Source organism: Homo sapiens, chromosome 9, assembly GCF_000001405.40.
Source record: "Homo sapiens chromosome 9, GRCh38.p14 Primary Assembly".
In the NCBI taxonomy this organism is placed as follows: domain Eukaryota; kingdom Metazoa; phylum Chordata; class Mammalia; order Primates; family Hominidae; genus Homo; species Homo sapiens.
The window spans coordinates 129,294,193-129,316,318 of NC_000009.12; the positions used below are offsets into that span (position 1 = coordinate 129,294,193).

The 22,126-nt window shown below is 45.3% G+C and overlaps 1 long non-coding RNA gene across 1 annotated transcript, besides 1 other annotated feature; it reads left to right on the forward strand.

Moving 5' to 3' along the window:
* The first annotated feature begins 88 nt into the window (after positions 1-88).
* On the forward strand, positions 89-18,478 carry LOC107987133 (uncharacterized). Its single transcript, XR_001746956.1, has 3 exons — positions 89-129; positions 17,536-17,606; positions 18,061-18,478. It is a non-coding gene; the product is annotated as an uncharacterized LOC107987133 (long non-coding RNA).
* Positions 19,332-19,501: an enhancer, noted in NCBI's record as "experimental_106889 CRE fragment used in MPRA reporter constructs". NCBI's record gives its function as "activates a minimal promoter by MPRAs in K562 erythroleukemia cells, with activity observed for the non-introgressed 9:132075888 variant allele {active_cell/tissue: K562}" and the evidence as "EXISTENCE:reporter gene assay evidence [ECO:0000049][PMID:34662402]".

Genomic DNA, 22,126 nt, shown 5'->3' on the forward strand with positions numbered 1-22,126 from the left:
TTTAAGACAGGGTTTCATTCTTGTTGCTCAGGCTGGCGTGCAATGGCGTGATCTCGGCTCACTGCAACCTCTGCCTCCCAGGTTCAAGAGATTCTCCTGTCTCAGCCTCCGGAGTAGCTGGGATTACAGGTATGTGCCACCATGCTCAGCTAATTTTTGTATTTTTAGTAGAGACAGGGTTTCACCATGTTGGCCAGGCTGATCTCAAACTCCTGATCTCAAGTGATCCACCCACTTCAGCCTCTCAAAGTGCTGGGATTACAGGTGTGAGCCACCGCACCTGGCCATGGGACTTCTTACTTCTTCGTTTCTGACCTGTTTGCCTTTTATTTCCTTTTCTTGCCTTACTGCTCTGGCTAGGATTTCCAGCATTAAACTTAGATTGTGAGAGCGGACCTCTTTACCTTGTTTCCAATCTTAGGAAGAAGGCTTTTGGCCTTTCACCATTCAATATAATGTTAATGACCAAATTTTTTGTGGCAGGTGGTAGATATTCTTTATCAAGTGGAGGAAGCTCCCCTCGGTTCCTAGTTTTCTTAGAATGTTTTCATGAATGGCTATTAAATTTCATTAGATGTTTTCTCTGCATCAATTAATATGAGCATACGATTTTTGTTCTTTAACCTGTTACCTGGTGGATTATATTGATTGATTTTCAAATATCAAACCATTCTACACCCCTAGAATAAACCCCACTTGGTCACAATGTAGAATTCTTTTTTTTTTTAAGACAGGATATTGTTCTGTTGCCCAGGCTGGAGTGCAGTGGTTTGATCATGGGTCATTGCAGCCTCAACCTCCTGGGCTCAATTGATCCTCCCATCTCAGCCTCCTGAGTTGCTCAGACTACAAGCACATGCCACCACACCCAGCTAAGTGTTGTATTTTTTTGTAGAGACAGAATTTTGCCATGTTGCTCAGGCTTGTCTCAAACTCCTGGGCTCAAGCGATCCACCCTCTCAGTCTCCCAAAGTGCTGGGCTTATAGGCATGAGCCACAGTACCCCACCCAAATTCTTTTTATATATTGCTGAATTCTGTTTGCCAATATTTTCTTAAGGATTTTGGCATCTATATTCATTGGGTATATTGGTTTGTGGTTTTCTCTTTTTTTGAGCTGTTTTTGGTTTTGATACCAGGGTAATATAGCTCTCATAAAATGAGTTGGGAAGTGTCCCCTTCTTTTTTCACAAATTCAATTTCTTTAAAAGTATTCATGTGATTTATTTCACAGTGGGTAAGTGGTAATAGTTTGTGCTTTTTAAGGAATTGCCCATTTTATCTAAGTTGTCAATTTTATGTGTAGAGTTTCCATAATATCCCCTTATTATATCTTCCTGAAGTCTTTAGGGTCTATAGAGCTGTCCCCTGCTCAATTCCTGATATTGGTAATTTGTGTCTTTCTCTTCTTTTTTCTTTGTCAGTCTTGCTAGTGGCTTCTCAATTTTATTGATCTTTTTAAAGAACCAGCCCTTTGTTTCATTGATTTTTTTCTATTATTTCTTATTTAAATTTTACTGATTTTTGCTCTTATACTTATTTCCTTCTGTTCATTTTGGTTTTATTTTGCTCTTTTTTTCATTTTCTTAAGGTGGGAGGTTGGAGAAATGACTTAGATTTTCTCTATTTCTAATATAAACATGTAGTGCTACAAATTTTCCTCTGAGTGCTGCTTTGGCTTCATCCCATAACATTTGATATGTTGTGTTTTTGTGTTCATTCAGTTCCATGTGTTTTTTTTTTTTCAATTTCCTTAGAGACTTCTTTGACTCATAAATTATTTAGAAGCATATTCTTTAGTTTTCAACAGTTTAGAGATGATCCTGTTACTTTCCCATTATCTACTTTGGCTTCTACTTCAATTCTATTATGGTCAGAGAATACACTCTGCATGATTTCAATTCTTTTCCTTTTTTTTTTTTATTATACTGTAAGTTCTGGGTTACATGTGCAGAACATGCAATTTTGTTACATAGGTATACACGTGCCATGGTGGTTTGCTGCACCCATCAACCCATCACCTACATTGTTTATTCTCCTAATGTTATCCCTCCCCTAGCTCCCCACCCCCCACAGGCCCTGGTGTGTGATGTTCCCCTACCTGTGTCCATGTGTTCTCATTGTTCAGCTCCCACTTGTGAGTGAGAACATGCGGCATTTGGTTTTCTGATCTTGTGATAGTTTGCTGAGAATGATGGTTTCCAGCTTCATCCATGTCCCTGCAAAGGACATGAACTCATCCTTTTTTATGGCTGCATAGTATTCCATGGTGTATATGTGCCACGTTTTCTTAATCCAGTCTATCATTGATGGGCATTTGGGTTGGTTCCAAGTCTTTGCTACTGTGAATAGTGCCACAATAAACATACGTGTGCATGTGTCTTTATCATAGAATGATTTGTAATCCTTTGGGTATATGCCCAGTAATGGGATTGCTGGGTCAAATGGTATTTCTAGTTCTGGATCCTTGAGGAATTGCCACACTGTCTTCCACAATGACTGAACTAATTTACACTCCCACCAACAGTGTAAAAGTGTTCCTATTTTTCCACAACCTCTCCAGCACCTGTTGTTTCCTGACTTTTTAATGGTTGCCATTCTAACTGGTGTGAGATGGTATCTCATTGTGGCTTTGATTTGCATTTCTCTAATTAGCAGTGATGATGAGCATTTTTTCTTATTTCTGTTGGCTGCATAAATGTCTTCTTTTGAGAAATGTCTGTTGGTATCCTTTGCTCATTTTTTTGATGGGGTTGTTTGTTTTTTTCTTGTAAATTTGTTTAAGTTCTTTGTAGATTCTGGATATTAGCCCTTTGTCAGATGGATAGATTGCAAAATTTTTCTCCCATTCTGTAGGTTGCCTATTCACTCTGATGATAGTTTCTTTTGCTGTGTAGAAGCTCTTTAGTTTAATTAGATCCCATTTGTCAATTTTGACTTTTGTTGCCATTGCTTTTGGTGTTTTAGACATGAAGTCTTTGCCCATGCCTATGTTCTGAATGGTATTGCCCAGGTTTTCTTCTAGGATTTTCATGGTCCTAGGTCTTACGTTTAAGTCTTTGATCCATCTTGAGTTGATTTTTGTATAAGGTGTAATGAAGGGGTCCAGTTTCAGTTTTCTGCGTATGGCTAGCCAGTTTTCCCAACACCATTTATTAAATAGGGAATCTTTTCCCCATTGCTTGTGTGTGTCAGATTTGTCAAAGATCAGATGGTGGTAGATGTGTGGTGTTATTTCTGAGGCCTCTGTTCTGTTTCATTGGTCTATATCTCTGTTTTGGTACCAGTACCATGCTGTTTTGGTTACTGTAGCCTTGTAGTATAATTTGAAGTCAGGTAGCGTGATGCCTCCGGCTTTGTTCTTCTTGCCCAGGATTGTCTTGGCTATGTGGGTTCTTTTTTGGTTCCATATGAAGTTTAAAGTAGTTTTTCCAATTCCATGAAGAAAGTCAGTGGTAGCTTGATGGGGATAGCATTGAATCTATAAATTACTTTGGGCAGTATGGCCATTTTCACGATATTGATTCTTCCTATCCATGAACAAGGAATGTTTTTCCATTTGTTTTTGTCCTCTCTTATTTCCTTGAGCAGGGGTTTGTAGTTCTCCTTGAAGAGGTCCTACACATCCCTTGTAAGTTGTATTCCTAGGTGTTTTATTCTCTTAGTAGCAATCGTGAATGGGAGTTCACTCATGATTTGGATCTCTGTTTGTCTGTTATTGGTGTATAGGAATGTTTGTGATTTTTGCACATTGATTTTGTATGCTGAGACTTTGCTGAAGTTGCTTATCAGCTTAAGGCGATTTTGGGCTGAGACAACGGGGTTTTCTAAATATACAATCATGTCATCTGCAAACAGAGACAATTTGACTTCCTCTCTTCCCATTTGAGTACCCTTTATTTCTTTCTCTTGCCTGATTGCCTTGGCCAAAACTTCCAATACTATGTTGAATAGGAGTGGTGAGAGAGGGCATCCTTGTCTTGTGCCGGTTTTCAAAGGGAATGCTTCCAGTTTTTGCCCATTCAGTATGATATTGGCTGTGGGTTTGTCATAAATAGCTCTTATTGTTTTGAGACACGTTCCATCGATACCTAGTTTATTGAGAGTTTTTAGCATGAAGGGCTGTAGAATTTTGATGAAGGCGTTTTCTGCATCTGTTGAGATAATCATGTGGTTTTTGTCCTTGCTTCTGTTTATGTGATGGATTACGTTTATTGATTTGCGTATGTTGAACCAGCCTTGCATCCCAGGGAGATTTCAATTCTTTTAAATGTGTTGAGATTTGTTTTAGTGCAGAACATGGCCTATTTTAGTAAATGTTCTGTGAGCACTTGAAGAGAATGTATATTCTGTTGTTGGATAGTGTTCTGTAAATGCTGACTAGATTAGTTTGGTTGGTGGTGTTAAATTCATCTATATTTCTGCTGATTATCTGTCTAGTTGTTCTATCAGTTGTTGAGAGAGGGGTGTTGTCTTCAACTATAATTATAGATTTGTCTATTTCTCCTTTCATCCATCAGCTTTTTCCATTCCATCAGTTTTTTCTTCATGTAATTTGAAGTTCTGTTGTTTGATACATATATATACATTAGAAGTACTATGTCTTCTTAATGTGTTGCCCCTTCTATCAGTATGTGATATCCTTCTTTGGTAATTTTCTTTGCTCTGAAGCCAACTTTATCAAATATTAATATAGCCACTTCTGTTTTCTTTTGGTTAATTTTTGCATGGCATATCTTATTTCATCCTTTTACTTAAAATCAACCTATAATGTTATATTTGAAGTGAATTTTTCACAAAGAGTTATATTTGGGCCACTAAAAAAATCCACTCTGCCAATATCTGTATTTTAATTGGTGTATTGAGGCCATTTGCATTTAATGTAACTATTGATGTGTTAGGGCTTAAGTCTGCCATTTTATTTTTTGTTTTATGTTTGTTCCCTCTGTTTTCAGTTTCTCTTTTCTCCCCTGCCTTCCTGTAGATTACGTAAACATTTCTTAGATTTCCATTTTTATTTAGCTCTAGTATATCTCTTTGTATAATATTTTTAGTGTTTGCTTTAGGTATTGCACTATACACACGTAAGTTTTTATTTATTTATTTTAGAGTCTTGCTCTGTTGCCCAGGCTGAGGTAAGTGGTGTGATCCTAGCTCACTGTGGCCTCAAACTCCTCGGCTTATATAATCCTCTCACCTCAGTCTCCCAAGTAGCTGGGACTACAGCTGCATACCACCACACCCAGCTAATTTTTCACCTTTTTTTTTTAGAGACACGGTCTTGCTATGTTATCCAAGCTGGTCTTGTACTTCTGGCCTAAAACAATCCTCCCTCCTTGGCCTCCCAAAGTGCTAGGATTACAGGCATGAACCACTATGCCTGGCTTATACACACAGAATTTATTATAGTGTACTAGTATTGATATTTTATCAGTTTGAGTGAGTATAGAAATCTCATCTTCATTTCAGTCTCTTTACCCTCCCTTGTATGTGATATAATTGCCTTAAATATTTTCTCTACTTATTGAGAACCATATCAGACACTATTATAATTTTTGCTTCAATCATCAAACATAATTTATAAAACCCAAAAGGAGGAGGAAAGTCTATTGATTTTGCACATTTTTTTACTCTTTTTATTGTTCTTCCTTCCAAATGTTCCAAGATTTCTCCTTTTATTATTTACTTTTGGTTTCAAGAACTTCCTTCAGCCCATTTTTAAGGGTAGGCCTGCTGGTGACAAATTATCTTAGGTTTAGTTCATCTGAGAATGCCTAGACTTTTCCTTCATTCTTGAAGAATATTTTCACTGGATACAAAATTCTGGGTTGACAGTTCTTTCATTTCAGGATTTGAAAACTGCTGCACCCACTTACTTCTGGGCACCATGGTTTCTTATGAGAAACCTCCTGTCATTCAAATTGTTTTCCCCATTTTGAAAGGTATAGTTTCTTCCTCCCTGCTTTCAAGATTGTTTTCTTTAGTTTTGTGATGTATCTTTTTATAATTTTCTTTGGATTTATCTTATTTCTGGTTTTCTCAGTTTCTTGAAACTACAGGATTGTATCTTTTGCCAAATTTAGGAAGTTTTCATTCATTATTTCTTCTAATCCTTTTTTAGTCACATTCTCACTCTCCTTTCCTTCTGGAAATCTATTGGCACAAAAGTTATTTTCTCTTTCTTTCTTTCCTTCCTTCCTTCCTTCCTTCCTTCCTTCCTTCCTTCCTTCCCTCCCTCCCTCCCTCCTTCCCTCCCTCCCTTCCTTCCTTTCTTCTTCCCCTCCCTCCCTCCCTCTCTCTCTCTCTTTCTTTCTTTCTTTCTGACAGAGTCTCACTCCATCACCCAGGCTGGAGTACAGTGGCACCATCTCGGCTCACTGCAACCTCTGCCTCTTGGGTTCAAGTGATTCTCTTGCCTCAGCCTCCTGAGCAGCTGGGATTACAGGCACCCTCCACTACACCCGGCTAATTTTTTTTTTTTTTTGTATTTTTAGTAGAGACACGATTTCACCATGTTGGCCAGGCTGGTCTCAAACTCATGACCACCTGCCTTGGCCTCCCAAAGTGCTGGGATTACAGGCATGAGCCACCGTGCCTGGCCTATGATTAATGATTTTCAATTGTGTTCTGCACATTTTGGGTATGATGTTCTGAGACTGTGGATATTATTGAAATCTTCTGTTTTAGCCTATCTCCTTTGATACCACATTGGTGTGGGAAGAAAAGCACTATCTCATCACTGCCAGGCAGGGATGAAAGCCCAAGTTCCCATTCAGTCTCTGCTGACACCGAGTGAGGAAAAGGTGCCTTGTTACTGCTGGTTGGGGTGGAAGTTTCGGCTCCCCACTCCACTGACACTGCCCTGCTTGGGATGGGGAGGGACCTCTCATTATGCTCCCCTTGTGGTCTCCACTGATACTGTGGAAGGTGGGAAGGACATTACTGCTGAGAAGTGGTAAAAGCCCTGGCTCTTCACTAGGCTTCCTCTGATTCCACTTCAATGAGGAGAGGAAGAGGTGCTTCATTATCACTGGGTGGGAGTATGAGTCCAGGCTTTCTCTGTGGTCTCTGCTGACATCACAGGACTGACTGGTGGGGATGGAAGTCCTGGCAGGGAGAAGGTGGACTTGGTTACAGCCTCCAGAGGGTAGAGGTCTAGGCTCCCCATTCTACCTTTGTCGACAGAGGTGGAGTGGGGCCACAGTTTTCTTACCATGTTTGGCTAGTTTGGGGTGGTTATTGTCTAAAAGTTCTGTCTTGCTAGGCAGCCCCTTTCCTGGTATTTTGGCTAGAGAGGGGAGGCTTTTCTTGAGAGCTTTTTTTTTTTGTGAGGAGGTCTGCACTTGCTGCTTTTTTGGGGCTGCTGGATTCTCTAGCCTCGCTATATCCAGGGTTACATGAGGCAAAAAAGAAAACCATCATTCTCAGCAAACTATCGCAAGGAAAAAAAACCAAACACCGCATGTTCTCACTCATAGATAGGAATTGAACAATGAGAACACATGGACACAGGAAGGCGACCATCACACTCTGGGGCCTGTTGTGGGGTGAGGGGAGGAGGGAGGGATAGCATTAGGAGCTATACCTAATGTTAAATGACGAGTTGATGGGTGCAGCACACCAACATGGCACATGTATACATATGTAACTAACCTGCACCTTGTGCACATGTACCCTAAAACTTAAAGTATAATAAAACAAAAACAAAAACAAAAAAACAAAAAAGAAAACCCAGGAATCTTAAGGTCCTACGCAGTTTGCCTTCTTCTTTCTACCTTTCAGAATCATTGTGGGTTTGTTTTTAGCCGGTTTTCAGCTGCATTTAGTGAGAGGACTAGGGAGAAGCACGTCCACTCCATCTTGTCTGGAGCCAGAGTTGAAAGCATTTTTTTCTTTCAGCGCTTTGATGTTCCACTTTCTGGTCACCTCCATAATTTCTGATGAAAAGTCAGTGATATTTCAAGTCACTGTTTGGACTGAATATGTCACTTTTTTTCTGGCTACTTTCCAGATAGTTTTAGTTCTCAGCAGTTTTGTCTAGGTGTGGCTTTCTTCTTACTTATCCTGCTTGGGGTTAGCTGAACTCCTTGATTCAGAAGTTCTTTCAGAAAATATAGGAAATTTCTGTCCATGACTTCTTAAAATATTTTTTTCTAACCTCCTTTCTGTGTCTCTAAAAAAATTAAAATAGTAATTTAAAATCCTAAATTAGAGAACTCTATATCCAGTGGTTTCACTGGTGACTTCTATTAAACATTTAAGAAAAAATAATACATCAGAAACTCTTACAGAAAAAGGAGAAAGAGGAAACCTTCCCACTTGTTTTGTGAGGTCAGCATAACCCTACCGCCCAAACCTGACAAACACATCACAATAAAACTACAGAACAATATCCCACAAGAACATAGATGCAAGCATTCCTAAGAAAATACTAGCAAATTTAATCTAGCAATATATTATAAGGATAATACACTAAGACCAACTGAGTTTTGTCTCAGCAATGTAATATTGGTTTAATGTTAAAAATTTAATCAGTGTAATACACAGTATTCACAAAATAAAGGAGAGAAACCATATGATCGTTGAAAACACAAAAATGTTTAAATAAAACTCAATGCTTATTCAATGTGTATACACACACACACACACACACACACACACTCTCTCTCTCTCTCTCTCTCACCAACTAGAAATGGAAGAGACCTTTCTCAATCTAAAAAAGGACATGTGGGCTGCACACGGTGGCTCACGCCTGTAATCCCAGCACTTTGGGAGGCTGAGGCAGGTGGGTCACCTGAGGTCAGGAGTTCAAGACCAGCCTAGTTTAACACAGTGAAACCCCATCTCTACTAAAAATACAAAAATTCGCTGGGTGTGGTGGTGGGTGCCTGTAATACCAGCTACTCGGGAGGCTGAGGCAGGAGAATCGCTTGGACCCTGGAAACAGAGGTTGCAGTGAGCTGAGATCCCACCACTGCACTCTAGTCTGGGCAACAGAGCGAGACTCTATCTCAAACAAACAAACAAACAAATATACAAAAACAAAACATAAAAACGGCATGGATGAAAACTCTACAGCTGATATTATACTTAATAGTGAAATAGTAAACACTTTCCCCCTAAGACCAGGAAAATGGCAGGGATCACAGTCTCTCTATATTATTGTGCTGAAAGTCCTAACTGGTGCAATAAGACAAAAAGAAAAAAAAAAAGAAAGAAGAAAAGGAAAAAAAGAGAAAGAAATAAAAAGCATGAAGACCATAAAGAAAGAAGTAAAACTGTCTCTCTTTACAGATGAGATCATTCTCTATGTAGAAAATTCTAAGGAATCTGCAAAACAACTACAATAACTTAATAAATGAATTTAGCACGATTGTAAGATATAAGATATATATATGTTTATATATAATTGATAATTACATATCTGTGCACTGGCAGCAAGCAGAAATGTTTTTTAAAATTTCATTTATAAGTATAACATACTTAGTAATAAACTTAGCAAAAGAGAGAAATGAAAGAAGCCCTAAGATAAACAGAAAGAAATTGTGTGCTCGTGGGTCAGAAGACCCAAGTTAGTTAACAGGTCAATTCTCCCTGGATTGACCTATCATAATCCCGGGAGCATTGTGCGAATGCATAAATTGGCCCAGCTCAGTGGCTCACGCCTGTAATCCCAGCACTTTGGGAGGCCGAGGTGGGTGGGCCACCTGAGGTCGGGAGTTCGAGACCAGCCTGACCAACATGGAGAAACCCCGTCTCTACTAAAAATACAAAATTAGCTGGGCGTGGTGGCACGTGCCTGTAATCCCAGCTACTCGGGAGGCTGAAGCAGGAGAATTGCTTAAACTCTGGAGGTGGAGGTTGTGGTGAGCCAAGATTGCACCATTGCATTCCAGCCTGGGCAACAAGAGAGAAACTCCGTCTCAAAAAAAAAAAAAAAAAAAAAAAAGGAGAATGCGTGAATTGTCAATCTCATTCTAACATTCATAGAGAAGAACCTAAGTTAGCCCTCCAAATCTTGCCGTAAGTTGAAGAACTTACAGTACCTGATTTCAAGACTAAAGAACAAAGGCCAAAAAAAGACTAGATTCATGGTATTGACTAGAGAGTCCAGAAGTAGGCCCACATTTATACAGCACATTGATTTTTGACAAAGGCATCAAAACAGTTCTATGGGGAAAAGCAGTATTTTGAATAAATGATGCTGGAACAACTGGATGTCAGTATTGAGAAAAATGAATGTTGAATCTTCAAATTATACAATAAATTTAATTCAAGGTGGATCGTAGGTCTAAATGTAAAAGCTAAAACTGTGAAACTTCCACAAGAAAACACAGGGAAACACTTTCACGATCTGTGAGCAGTCCAGAATGTCTTAGATGGGACAGCAAAAGCAACAAACATTTAAAAAATCGATAAATTGGGCCTGGTATAGTGGCTCATGCCTGTAATCCTAGCACTTCGGGAGGCTGGGGTGGGTAGATCACGAGGTCAGGAGCTTGAGACCAGCCTGGTCAACATGATGAAACCCCATCTCTACTAAAAATACAAAAAAATTAGCCAGGCGTAGTGGCGGGCACCTGTAATCCCAGCTACTTGGGAGGCTGAGGCAAGAGAATCGCTTGAACCTGGGAGGCGGAGGTTGCAGTGAGCCAAGATCGTGCCATTGCACTACAGCCTGAGTGACAGAGTGAGACTTTGTTTCAAAAAAAAAAATTGATAAATTGACTTCATCAAAATGAAAAGTCTTTATTGTTAAGAAAACTAAAAGGGAAACCACATACTTTGGGCAAATACTGCAACCCATATATCTGATAAAAGGCTAGTATCCAGGTTATATAGATAATCCTGTAACTCAATAATAAGAGGGTTTATGTGCTGGAAAGATTTGAACAGACACGTCACGGAAGAATGCATATGAATGGCCAATGAACACATTTGAAAGTGTTCATCGTCATTAGTTATCTGGGAAATGCAAATGAAAATCCATGAGCTACTACTGCAGTCCCACCAGAACAATGGTCCCCAACCTTTTTGGCACCAGGGACCAGTTTTGTGGAAGACAACTTTTTCATGGCCAATTTTTCTATGGCTGGGGGTTTGGGACGGTTTTGGGATGAAACTGTTCCACCTTAGAACAGGCATTAGTTCAAGTCTCATCAGGAGGGTGCAACCTAGATCCCTCGCATGCACAGTTCACAATAGGGCTCACGCTTCTGAGAGAATCCAGTGCTGCCACTGATCTGGCCGGAGGTGGAGCTCACGCAGCAATGCCCCCTCATCAGCCACTCACCTCCTGCTGTGCGGCCCGGTTCCTAACAGGCCATGGACCTATACCAGTTTGTGGCCTGGGGGTTTGTGACCCCTGCACTAGAATGACTCCAATTTTAAAAGACCGATGGCACCAAATGTGGATGAGGATGTAGAAAAACTGGAACTCTCATAAATCACTGATGGAAACATAAAATGTTACAAGTACCTCGGAGAAAGTTTCACTCTTGTCTTATAAAGTAAAACATACATCTACCCTATGACCCAGTAATGCCACTTCTAGATGTGGTCCCAAAAGAAATAAGTGCACATGTTTGCAAAAAGATTTTTATGTAAATGTTTGTAGCAGCTTTATTTATAATACCCTCAGACTGGAAACTGCCCAAATATCCATTAACAGAAGAACAGATAAACAAATTGTGGTATATCCATACTATGGAATACAATTCATCAAAAAAAAAAAAAAAAAAAGAGAGAATGAACTATCAATAAACACAACAACACAGATGAATCACAGACATTATGTGGAATGAAAAAAGCCAGACACAAAAAGATACAAATTGTGTGATTCCACTTATACAAAGTTCTGGAACAGGCAAAACTAATCTATGGTGAAAAAAATTAGAAAACCGATTGCCTGTGGCGGTGCAGGATTGGCTGGGAAGACACAAAGTAACTTTCTGGCATGTTGAAAAGTTCTTGATTTTGCTAACGTGTGGGCTTCAGGTGTATGCATTTGATAAAATACGTAAAACCTCATAAAATGGTACACATGAAATCTGTGCATTTGTAAATCGTGCATTTGTGAATATGTAAATTTTACCTAAAAAACCCTGAAATGTAAACAAAGATTCAGAATAACATTACACAGGTCAGCAGTCACAACAGCACCTTGGCCACCAGGACTATGAAGAGTGCTCAGCTGCCTCTGCTCGGCCACCCTGTGACCGGGTTAGGGCAGAGCTCTTTGGGTCTGACCACACTTGCTTACAGAATCACAAGACAAAGTCCTCCACATTCTGGAGACGGAGGCTTCCTGGACGCTGCCTCTGCCACTGCATTGCTTTGCCTTGGGTAGCCAGGCAGTAGCTCACGCCTGCTCTCCTTCACAGGCACAGCCGGCTCTTTGTCCTCTGATCAACCTGATCGTCATAGGACCAACCTCCTCTGTACAAAGATAAATGCTGTTCCCCTCAATCAGTACTGACCTGGGAAACAGGGCTTCTTGGTTCTAGTCACAAGATTTGCCTATGAGGCCCGCACTTTGGGAGGCTGAGGTGGCAGGATCGCTTGAGCCCAGGAGTTCGAGACCAGCCTGGACAACATAGCAAGACCCTGGCTTGACAAAAAAAAAAAATTATCTGGGCATGATGGTGTGCACCTGTAGTCCCAGCTATCTGAGAGACTGAGGTGGGAGGATCGCTTGAACCTGGGAGGTTGAGGTGACAGTGAGCTATCATGCCACTGGACGCCAGCCTGGGTGACAAAGCGAGACCCTGTCTCAAAAATAGAAAGAAAAAAAAAGATTTGCTTGTGATATTTGGGCCACTCTCATTCACGTATTCATGAATTACCAAATATTTTTTTGAGCCAACCCTGCTGTAGGTTCTTGGGACACATGAATGAGCAAAACACAGGAAAACTTTTGTCCTCTTCCAAGTGGGAGGACACTGATGGTGGTGCACAGAGTAATGGCCCCCAAAGACGTCCACGTTCTGATCCCTGGAAGCTGTGAGTGTGCTACTTCATGTGGCCAAAGGAATTCTGCACGTGTGATTAAGTTAGGAATCCTGAGATGGGGGGATGATCGTGGATTATCTAGTTGGGCCCAAGGTAATCACCAGGGTCCTTATACGGGTCGGGGAGGAGGGTCAGAGCTAGAGGAGGCGACGAGGTGAAGGAAGCAGAGGTTGGAATGATGCCTTTGGTGGAAGGAGCCATGAGTCAAGGAACGTGGGTGGCCTCTAGAAGCTGAAAAGGCAAGGATGTGAATTCTCCCCTAGAGCTTCCAGAAGGAATGCAGTCCTGCCGACACCTTGATTTCAGCCCAGGGAGACTCATTTCAGACTTACAACTCCCAGAGTTACAAGATAATAAATTTGGGTTGTTTTGAGCCACCAGGTTTGTGGTAATCTGTTAGAGCAGTGACAGGAAACTGACTTAAACAATACACCTACTACCTAAGCAGATTATCCATGATGCGTGAGAAGGTAATGGAACAATAATTCTGAGCTCCTCTTTGCCTGGGAGAGAGGCGGCTGTTGGGGTGTCTGTTTGCACATAGAGTAATTGGGCAATGAGCTTGACAATATTTGCACTCATCTCTAAAGGAGAAGCCTTTTGTTTATGGTAGGAGACAGCCTGACAATAGTGGTAAAATCCTATTGCACAGTCCTGGTGGGCTGCTTGTACACTGCCTGTACGTAGGTAGAGTTTAATTGTATTAAAATGTGCAAATGGCTGGGTGCAGTGTCTCATGCCTCTACTTCCAGCACGTTGGGAGGCCGAGGCAGGAGGATTGCTTGAGCTCAGGAGTTTGAGACCAGCCTAGGCAACATAGTGAGACCCCCTTCTCTACCAAAAAAAAAAAAAAAAAATAGCTGGGTGTGGTGGTGCACACCTGTAGTCCCAGCTACTCAGGAGGCTGAGGCAGGAGGATCTCTTGAGCCTAGGAGGTCGAGGATGCAGTGAGCTGTGTTTGCACCACTGTACTCCAGCCTGAGCAAGAAAGAAAGATCCCATCTCTTTTTTTAAAAATTGAATTAAATGTCCAAGCGATCATATGTATAAACTCCCATGTACAAGATGGAGAAACTGAGGCATGAGAAGAACTGGTTACCGACTTGACCCAGGGCTGCATAGTGAGATGATGGCTTCTGGCCATCATTGGGCTGGCAGTTTGAGCCCAGGTTTCCTCTTCACATGAAAATCAGAGCTTCTCGGCCGGGTGCAGTGGCTCACACTTGTAATCCTAGGACTTTGGGAGGCCAAGGCGGGTGGATTGCCTGAGGTGAGGAGTTCAAGACCAGTCTGGCCAACGTGGTGAAACCCCATCTCTGCTAAACGTACAAAAAAAATTAGCCAGGCGTGGTGGTGTGCACCTGTAATCCCAGCTACTTGGGAGGCTGAGGCAGGGGAACTGCTTGAACCAGGGAAGTGGAGCTTGCAGTGAGCTGAATCGTGCCACTGCACTCCAGCTTGGGCGACAGAGTGAGACTCCGTCTCAAAAAAAGAAAGAAAAAAGAAAAGAAAATCAGAGCTTCTCTCACACACACTAAATAAAAGCACTGTGCCTGCTCCCGCAACGTCCCTGTAGAAATGAGCACATCTGAGTGTCCTACCCAGTGCCAGGCTGGCTTAGCGTGGATGCCCCCGGCACACAGCTCTCTTCCTTTTCTCGGCACCTCCGCCGCTCTCTAAATCCCCTGGGAACATCGGGAACACTCTCCGGTGTTGCTTTACACCTGTTTTTACTTGCCTCCCGCTCTCCAGCCAAGGAGTGGGCTGGATTCACGATGACGTTCACCTTTGTCACTTGAAGGCAAAACTGGTATCAAGTTTGTTGCCTCGTGATGACCATGGATTATGATACCGGTTCAGCTGCTGTAGCAAAACCCAAAATAGCAGCGATCTGAACAAGATAGTCAGTCAGTCCCAACATCCACAGCCCAGTGTCAGTACCCAGACTCCCCTGGGCTTGCCGCTCTGCCATCCTTAACACACAGCTTCCACCTCGTGATGCACGGTGGCTGCTCTGGTTCCTGCCACTGTGTCTGCATTCCAGCCGGCAGGAAGGGGAGACCAGGAAGGACCGTCTTCCTTTAAAGGGCAGGGCACACATCATTGCCATTCATGTGCTGCTGGCCAGAGCCTGGTCATGTGGGTGCCGTTCATCACAAGGGAGGCTGGGAAATTTTGTTTGTTTGTTTGTTTGTTTTGAGAGACAGTCTTGCTCTGTTGCCCAGGCTAGAGTGTAGTGGCATGATCTCAGCTCACTGCAACCTCTGCCTCCTGGGGTCAAGCGATTCTCCTGCCTCAGCCTCCCGAGTAGCTGGGAGTACAGGTGAGTGCCACCACATGCAGCTAATTTTTTTTTTTGTTTTTTTCTTGTATTTTTAGTAGAGACGGGGTTTCACCATGTTAGCCAGGATGGTCTCGATCTCCTGACCTTGTGATCCACCCGCCTTGGCCTCCCAAAGTGCTGGGATTACAGGCATGAGCCACCGCGCCCAGCTCAATTTTCCTTCTTTCTTTCTTTCTTTTTTTTTTTTTTATAAATAATATGGGGTCTTGCCATGTTGCCCAGGCTGATCTTGAACTCTGGGCTCAAACTATCCACCCACCTTGGTCTCCCAAAGTGCTAGGATTACAGGCGTGAGCCACCGCCCCCAGCTCAGTAATTCTTCTTGAGTAAACTATATGGTTCAAACCACTCGAGTCAGGTATTCTGTAACTGATATCAATGAAGGCATTCAAACATTCGCCTGTCCTTGCGCTAAAACCTTCAGCGGTTCTCCACTATGCAGGGCATAAGGACTGAAAGCCTTAGCCTGGCTCACTAAACCTGTGTCTAGTCTTCCCACCAGCCCTCATCTCCCTCTCCTTGGCTCACTCTGTTACCACAGCACTGACCTTCTTAAGATTGTTCTTTTGACTCATCAGCTTCTCACCACCTTGGGGCCTTTGCACATGCTCTGCCCTCTGTCTGGAATGCCGTCTCCCTGCACCTGCACTCCCAGCGCCACCTGGCCAACCTCTACAGATCCTTTTGGCCTTTGTTTGTGTGGCCTTCAGCAAGGCCTTCTTCCAGGTCTTCTCTTGTGGTGCTCATCCCATCTGGAATGACATGTTTCTCTGTAACCTTGCTCTTTCCTTGCAATTAGAACCTTATCACAGGCCAGGTGCGGTAGCTCATGCCTGTAATCCTAGCACTTTGGGAGGCTGATGGGGGTGGATCGCCTGAGGCCAGGAGTTTGAGACCAACCTGGCCAGCATGGCAAAACCCCGTCTCTACTAAAAATACAAAAAATATTAGCCGGGCGTGGTGATGGGTGCCTATAATCCCAGCTACTTGGGAGGCTGAGGCAGGAGAATTGCTTGATCCCGGGGACAGAGGTTGCAGTGAGCCAAGATTCTGCCACTGCACTCCAGCCTGGGCAAAAGAGTGAAACTCTGTCAAAAAGAAAAGAACTTGATCACAGCTGGTCCTGAGCCTATCTTTCCACGCTGTAGTCCCCTGTACCTGGTATAGTGTCGAGTCCACAGCAAGTGCACAGTTGTTTCTTGGATGAATGAAATGGTTTGTGAATCATTATTTCACTGCCTGTCTCTCCTGCTGGTCTCCAAGGACACTTCTACTGGGAATACCTCACTCGGCTCTCAGGAATCCATCCCTGGCCAATCCCTCACATGCCTGCTAGCACTCCATTCATTTGTTTACAAGTCCCTCTCTCTCACACACACACCCATCACTGTGTTCATCTACTGCTACATAACAAATAATCCCCAAACATAGAAGCTTTAAATAGCAGGAAACATTTATTATCTCATTGTTTCTGTGGGTGAGAAATTTAGAAGCAGCTTAGCTGAGTGGTTCTGGTTCCGAGTCTCTTCTGAGAGTGCAGTCAGGGGCTGCAGTCATCTGAAAGCTCGACTGAGGCTGGGGGATCTGCATGCTCATGGAAGGTGTAAAGGCAGGTGATTTGTTTCATTCCATCAGCCCAGCCCCAGTGTCTTTCGGGGCCAAGGGAGGGTTGGTGATGGTTTTGGAGATTTGGGGAGGAGTGGTGGCTGTGCCCAACCCTTTAGGCACTGACGAGAAAGAATATAACAATTAAAAGCTTCAGGGGAGTGGATGAAATAGATGAATAAATAAATAAATAGACCAGGTGCAGTGGCTAATGCCTGTAATCCCAACACTTTGGGATGCCGAGGCAGGAGGATCACCTGAGGTCGGGAGGTCGAGACCAGCCTGACCAACATGGAGAAACCCCGTCTCTACTAAAAATACAAAATTAACCTGGCGTGGTGGCACATGCCTCTAATCCCAACTACTCAAGAGGCTGAAGCAGGAGAATCACTTGAACCTGGGAGGCAGAGGTTGCAGTGAACCGAGATTGCACCATTGCACTCCAGCCTGGGCAACAAGAGTGAAACTCTGTCTCAAATAAATAAATAAATAACAAATGAATGAATGAATGAGAGACCTTGAGGAATTTCTTGCTTTGCAGTGAAATTCTATCTCCTTTGTGTCTTGTGTCCCAAGATGTGTCTTAGGTAACAGAGCATGGGACAGAGCCACTGCAGCCATGCCCAGGGAGGGCCGGGGTGAGTAAGGTAATGACAGGTGAATCCTCCCATTGGGGGAAGTGCTCAGAAAGTGTAGGCGGGACCCACAGGCTTCTATGTCACCTGCAAGGATTTCTATGGCCTGGAACATCTTCCTGTGGATGCTGCTGCTGTGGCTGCTGTTGGTGGGTGGGGCGGGGGGTCGGGGGGCTCTCTGCTTTACCTGTGGCTCCCCAGCTGCCTTTTCTGGGGTCTGGGGGGGCTCCCTTCCCCACAGCCTGTGGTCCTCACTCCCCTAGGAGAATGTAAATGTCATTTTGCACAACTGAACTCCAGGGAAACTGCCCAGACTCAGTTAATCCCTGCTTTCCTTGCTTTAAGCAAACCCGGTTTATGGAAGTCTCTGGGATCACAGTTAAGGTAGAAACACTGTTTAGCCTCCGGGTCTGCCCCATACATTGAGCTGGCATTGCTCAAGGCAGCCTCTTGTTTCCTCTCGTAGCATTGTGAGGTTTTGGGCAGAACGTGGCTGCACTGTGCACGCGGTGAGGGATCGAAGGGGGCCCCCAAAGACACTCGAAGAACAGTGGGGGCCCTGAAAAGTGCCAATGCTGAGCCCAGACAGATGGAAGACCTTGGACAAATTCCCCGACACCCCTGAGCCTCGATTTCCTCATCTGAAAAGTGGGGTGGTGATGACAGCACATCTCAGAGGGCTGGGAGGACGAAGCCACCAAGTGACAGCTGCGATGGATCCACAGGGGCAGCAGCCGAGCAACCCGAGATCTGCAGAGCCATGGTGGGCCCAGCCCCATCCTGCCCCCCATGCAGCCAGTGAGAAGCCCTGCTGCTGGAGGGGATGGAGCTACGGGGACCGATCAATTACACCACAGTGTGAGGTCTCTGTGCCTTCCAAACTCCATCCTGAGTGTTTATTGCCTCAAAAATGAAGGGTGGGAGCCCCAAAGACCAAACAAACAGCTGATGAGAGAGAGAGAGAGAGAGAGAGGGAGAGAGAGAAAGAATGGGTCTGCACTGCAGCCTGTGCTATAACAAGAGACAGAGGGACCCTCTTGACTGGGGTCTCCAGCTGAGAGCGGGGAGGCCCCCTGGGGAGGTCTCTTCCAAGGTCTGAGGAAGGAGGAGAGGTGGATGGGGCCTTGGGATTAGGGAGATGGGGCGGGGCCACCATGTGTTGGCTGTGGGGCCCTGGGCAAGGAGTTAACCTCTCTGTGCCTCAGTCTCCTCCTCTATAAAATGGGTATGACAGACAGTAATAGTCTCTCCACCCTTAAAGGGCCGTTGTGAAGATTAAAGAAGTGAACAATTGTTGGTGCTTGGAGCAAAGCCTGGCTCTGGCAGTGGGCTTTGTATTTATGTTTGGTCAGTATATAAGAGTAAATGCTTAAGACCAGCTGGGGAACCACAGCGAGATCCCATCTCCACAAAAAATAAAATTAAAAAAAAAAATTAGCCGGACATGGTAGCATGTGCCTGTGTTCCCAGCTACTGCGGAGGCAGGAGGATGGCTTGAGCCTCGGGAGGCTGCAGTGAGCCATGATCGCACCACTGCACTCCAGCCTGGGCGACAGAGTGAGGCACCATCTTAGAAAAAAAAAAGTAAATGTCCCTGCTACCCGCAGGCTTCCCACCCATAGGCCTGCAGGCCCAGCTGCTTATTGGAGCCGGCCTGAGGTGGAGTCAGGGGTCTTCCTTTCTTTATCTTCTTTCCTGCCACCCCCACCCCAGCTCCTGTGGCTCCTCCCCTTGTCCCGGAGGAAGAGGACACTGAGTGGCACCTCACCACACTTCCCCTGAGGTCCCAACACAGGTGGGCCGTGGATGCTTCCTAAGCCTCCGCTGTGCCTCCTACTGACACAGTGAGAATGGGGCCAGGAGGCTGGGGAGAGATTTTAGGAGACCTGAAGTCTCTGGAGATCTTTGATCTTGGGGGAGGGAGGCTTACAGTGATGGAGTCTCTTCCGCAGCAGGCCCCTCACCTCCCCTGAGGACTGTCAGCCAGACTTGGGGTGTGTGTTTGCCCACATGGGTCAGGACAGAGCCCCTCGAAGCCATCCTTCCACCAGGTTAGCTCAGACCACAGACCTGGCCGTATCGCTGTTGGGGGTCTGATGGTCACATGGGCACCTTAGCCTCATTGAGAGAGGTGGGGTTCAAAGAGCTCTGGGACCATCTCAACCCCTAGACAAGTGAGCAAGTCTGGACCTCAGTCTCTTCTTTTGTCCAGTGTTCTGCAGATTCAGAGAAATAACAGGCATCAAGTCTATGCAGGCCAGAGTTTAACGGATGTGTCTGCCACTCAAGGGGGTGGTGTTGGGGGGACAAAGGACAGTTGTACATGACTGTGCCAGGCCTGCCCTGGAGTTCTGAGCCACCTTGCTGAACGCCAGCACCCACGGCTGCACGGCCCCTAAGGGTGGCACTGTCCTTGCTTCCCAGCTGCGTGAGGGACAGGACCTAGTTATTGCTTGTTTGTGCAGGTGTGATGCTCCTACCTAGAGAGGGTCCTCAGAACCTCCCAGCCCACTTCCCCACTGTCCTCCCGCCAGCTGTGCTGGTCAGGGTTCTGCTAGAGAAACAGAAGCAGTAAGAGGTCGATAGTAGGAGATTTATTACAAATAATTGGCTCATGCAATTGTGGGGGCTGGAGAAGCATGTCTGAAGTCTAGACGGCAGGCTGTCGGAAAGGGCAGTTGGAAATCTCCACCTGGGCACACGCTGCCATCCACAGGCAGTGAAGCACCAGCCCTGTTCTTAAGGCCTTTCACCGGATTGAGTCAGGCCCACCCAGAGTATCTGAGACAATCTCTCTCTCTTTCTTTCTTTCTTTTTTTTTTTTTGACATGGAGTCTCGCTCTCTCACCCAGGCTGGAGTGCGGTGATGTGATCTTGGCTCACTGCAAGCTCCACATCCCGGGTTCACAGCATTCTCCTGCCTCAGCCTCCCGAGTAGCTGGGACTACAGGCACCCGCCACCAGGCGCGGCTAATGTTTTTGTATTTGTAGTAGAGATGGGGTTTCACCGTGTTGGCCAGGATGGTCTTGATCTCCTGACCTCGTGATCCGCCCGCCTTGGCCTCCCAAAGTGCTGGGATTACAGGCGTGAGCCACCACACCCGGCCGACAATCTCCCTTTCTTAAAGTCAACCAATCATGGACTATTTATTTATTTTGAGACAGGGTCTTGCTCTGTCACCCAGGCTGGAGTGCAATGGCACCAGCTCACTGGAACCTCTGCCTCCCGGATTCAAATGATTCTCGTGCCTCAGCCTCCCGAGTAGCTGGGATTACAGGCATAGGCCACTATGTCTGGCGAATTTTTGTATTTTTAGTAGAGACGGGGTTTCACCATGTTGGCCAGACTTGTCTCGAACTCCTGACCTCAAGTGATTCACCCGCCTCAGCCTCCCAAAGTGCTGGCATTACAGGCATGAGCCACCGCCCCCGGCTGGCAATCATGGACTTTAATCGCATCCGCAAAATACCTTCCTGGCAACACAGAGATTCATGTTTGATTCAAGAGGTGGGGACTGCAGCCTCCCCTGAGTGGACACAGGAAACTGACCGTCCCACCATCCCTCCTCTCTCTCTGGTTTCTCGCTCCTGCCAGCATGAACACTGAGTATCGCCACTGGCCTCCCCCCGGAGCCAGGGTGGGGGTGGGGTGGGGAGGTGGGGAGTGAAACCAGCGCTGAGCTCCTGAGTCAGGCCCTTCTGGACTTCCCGGACTTTCTCCCCGCTCCACCTCCCAGCCCCCTGGGATAAATTCCACCTGGACCCCCAGCCCTCGGCCTCAGCTCCTCCTTCAGTGTGAATCCCTGGCTTGTGACATCTCCACAGACTGGCCTGAGCGAGCCCCACATAAGCCCAGCTTGGAGTGGGGCCAGGAGCCTCCCTTACTGCCTTCAGGGAGCTGCCAGTCTCCTGAGGGAGCCGCAGAGCCTGGAATCCGGGTCCCAGGTTTGCAGAGCGAGCTTGCAGAGAGCCTCTGTTTTCCCTGATTCTCGGCTGTGCTCTGGGCCGGACTCCCTGGTCAGCCCATAGCTCTTGGCTGCAGGAAACCAGCCCCGTGCTTGTTTTGTTTTGATTGCACAACCCCGGTGCAGGAGGCCAGGGTGGACATCTGCTGTTTTGGCCAGCCCAGCACCCAAGCCCCCCTTTTCTGGCAAGAGCCCCCCAGTTGCCTCATGGGGACCTCTCCCAGTGTGTGTAGCCTGGGGAGTGTGCTGTCAGCCTAGATGCCCCTGTCCTGCCTGGCCAAGGGATGGGCCTTGTCTTCGTCTGTTTTCTGTTGCTTATAACAGAATACCTGAAACTGGGTAATGTATAAAGAAAAGGAATGTATTTCTTATAGTTATGGCAGCTGAGAAGTCCCAGGTTGAGGGACCACATTCGGTGACACCCTTTTTGCTGGTTGGGATCTGTGCAGTCTCCAGGCAGTGCCGGGCATCACATGGCAAGGGGGCAGAGTGGCCCATGAGCTGGCTCAAGCCTCTCTTCTTTTTATAAAGCCACCAGTTTCCCTCCCATGATGACCCGTTAATACA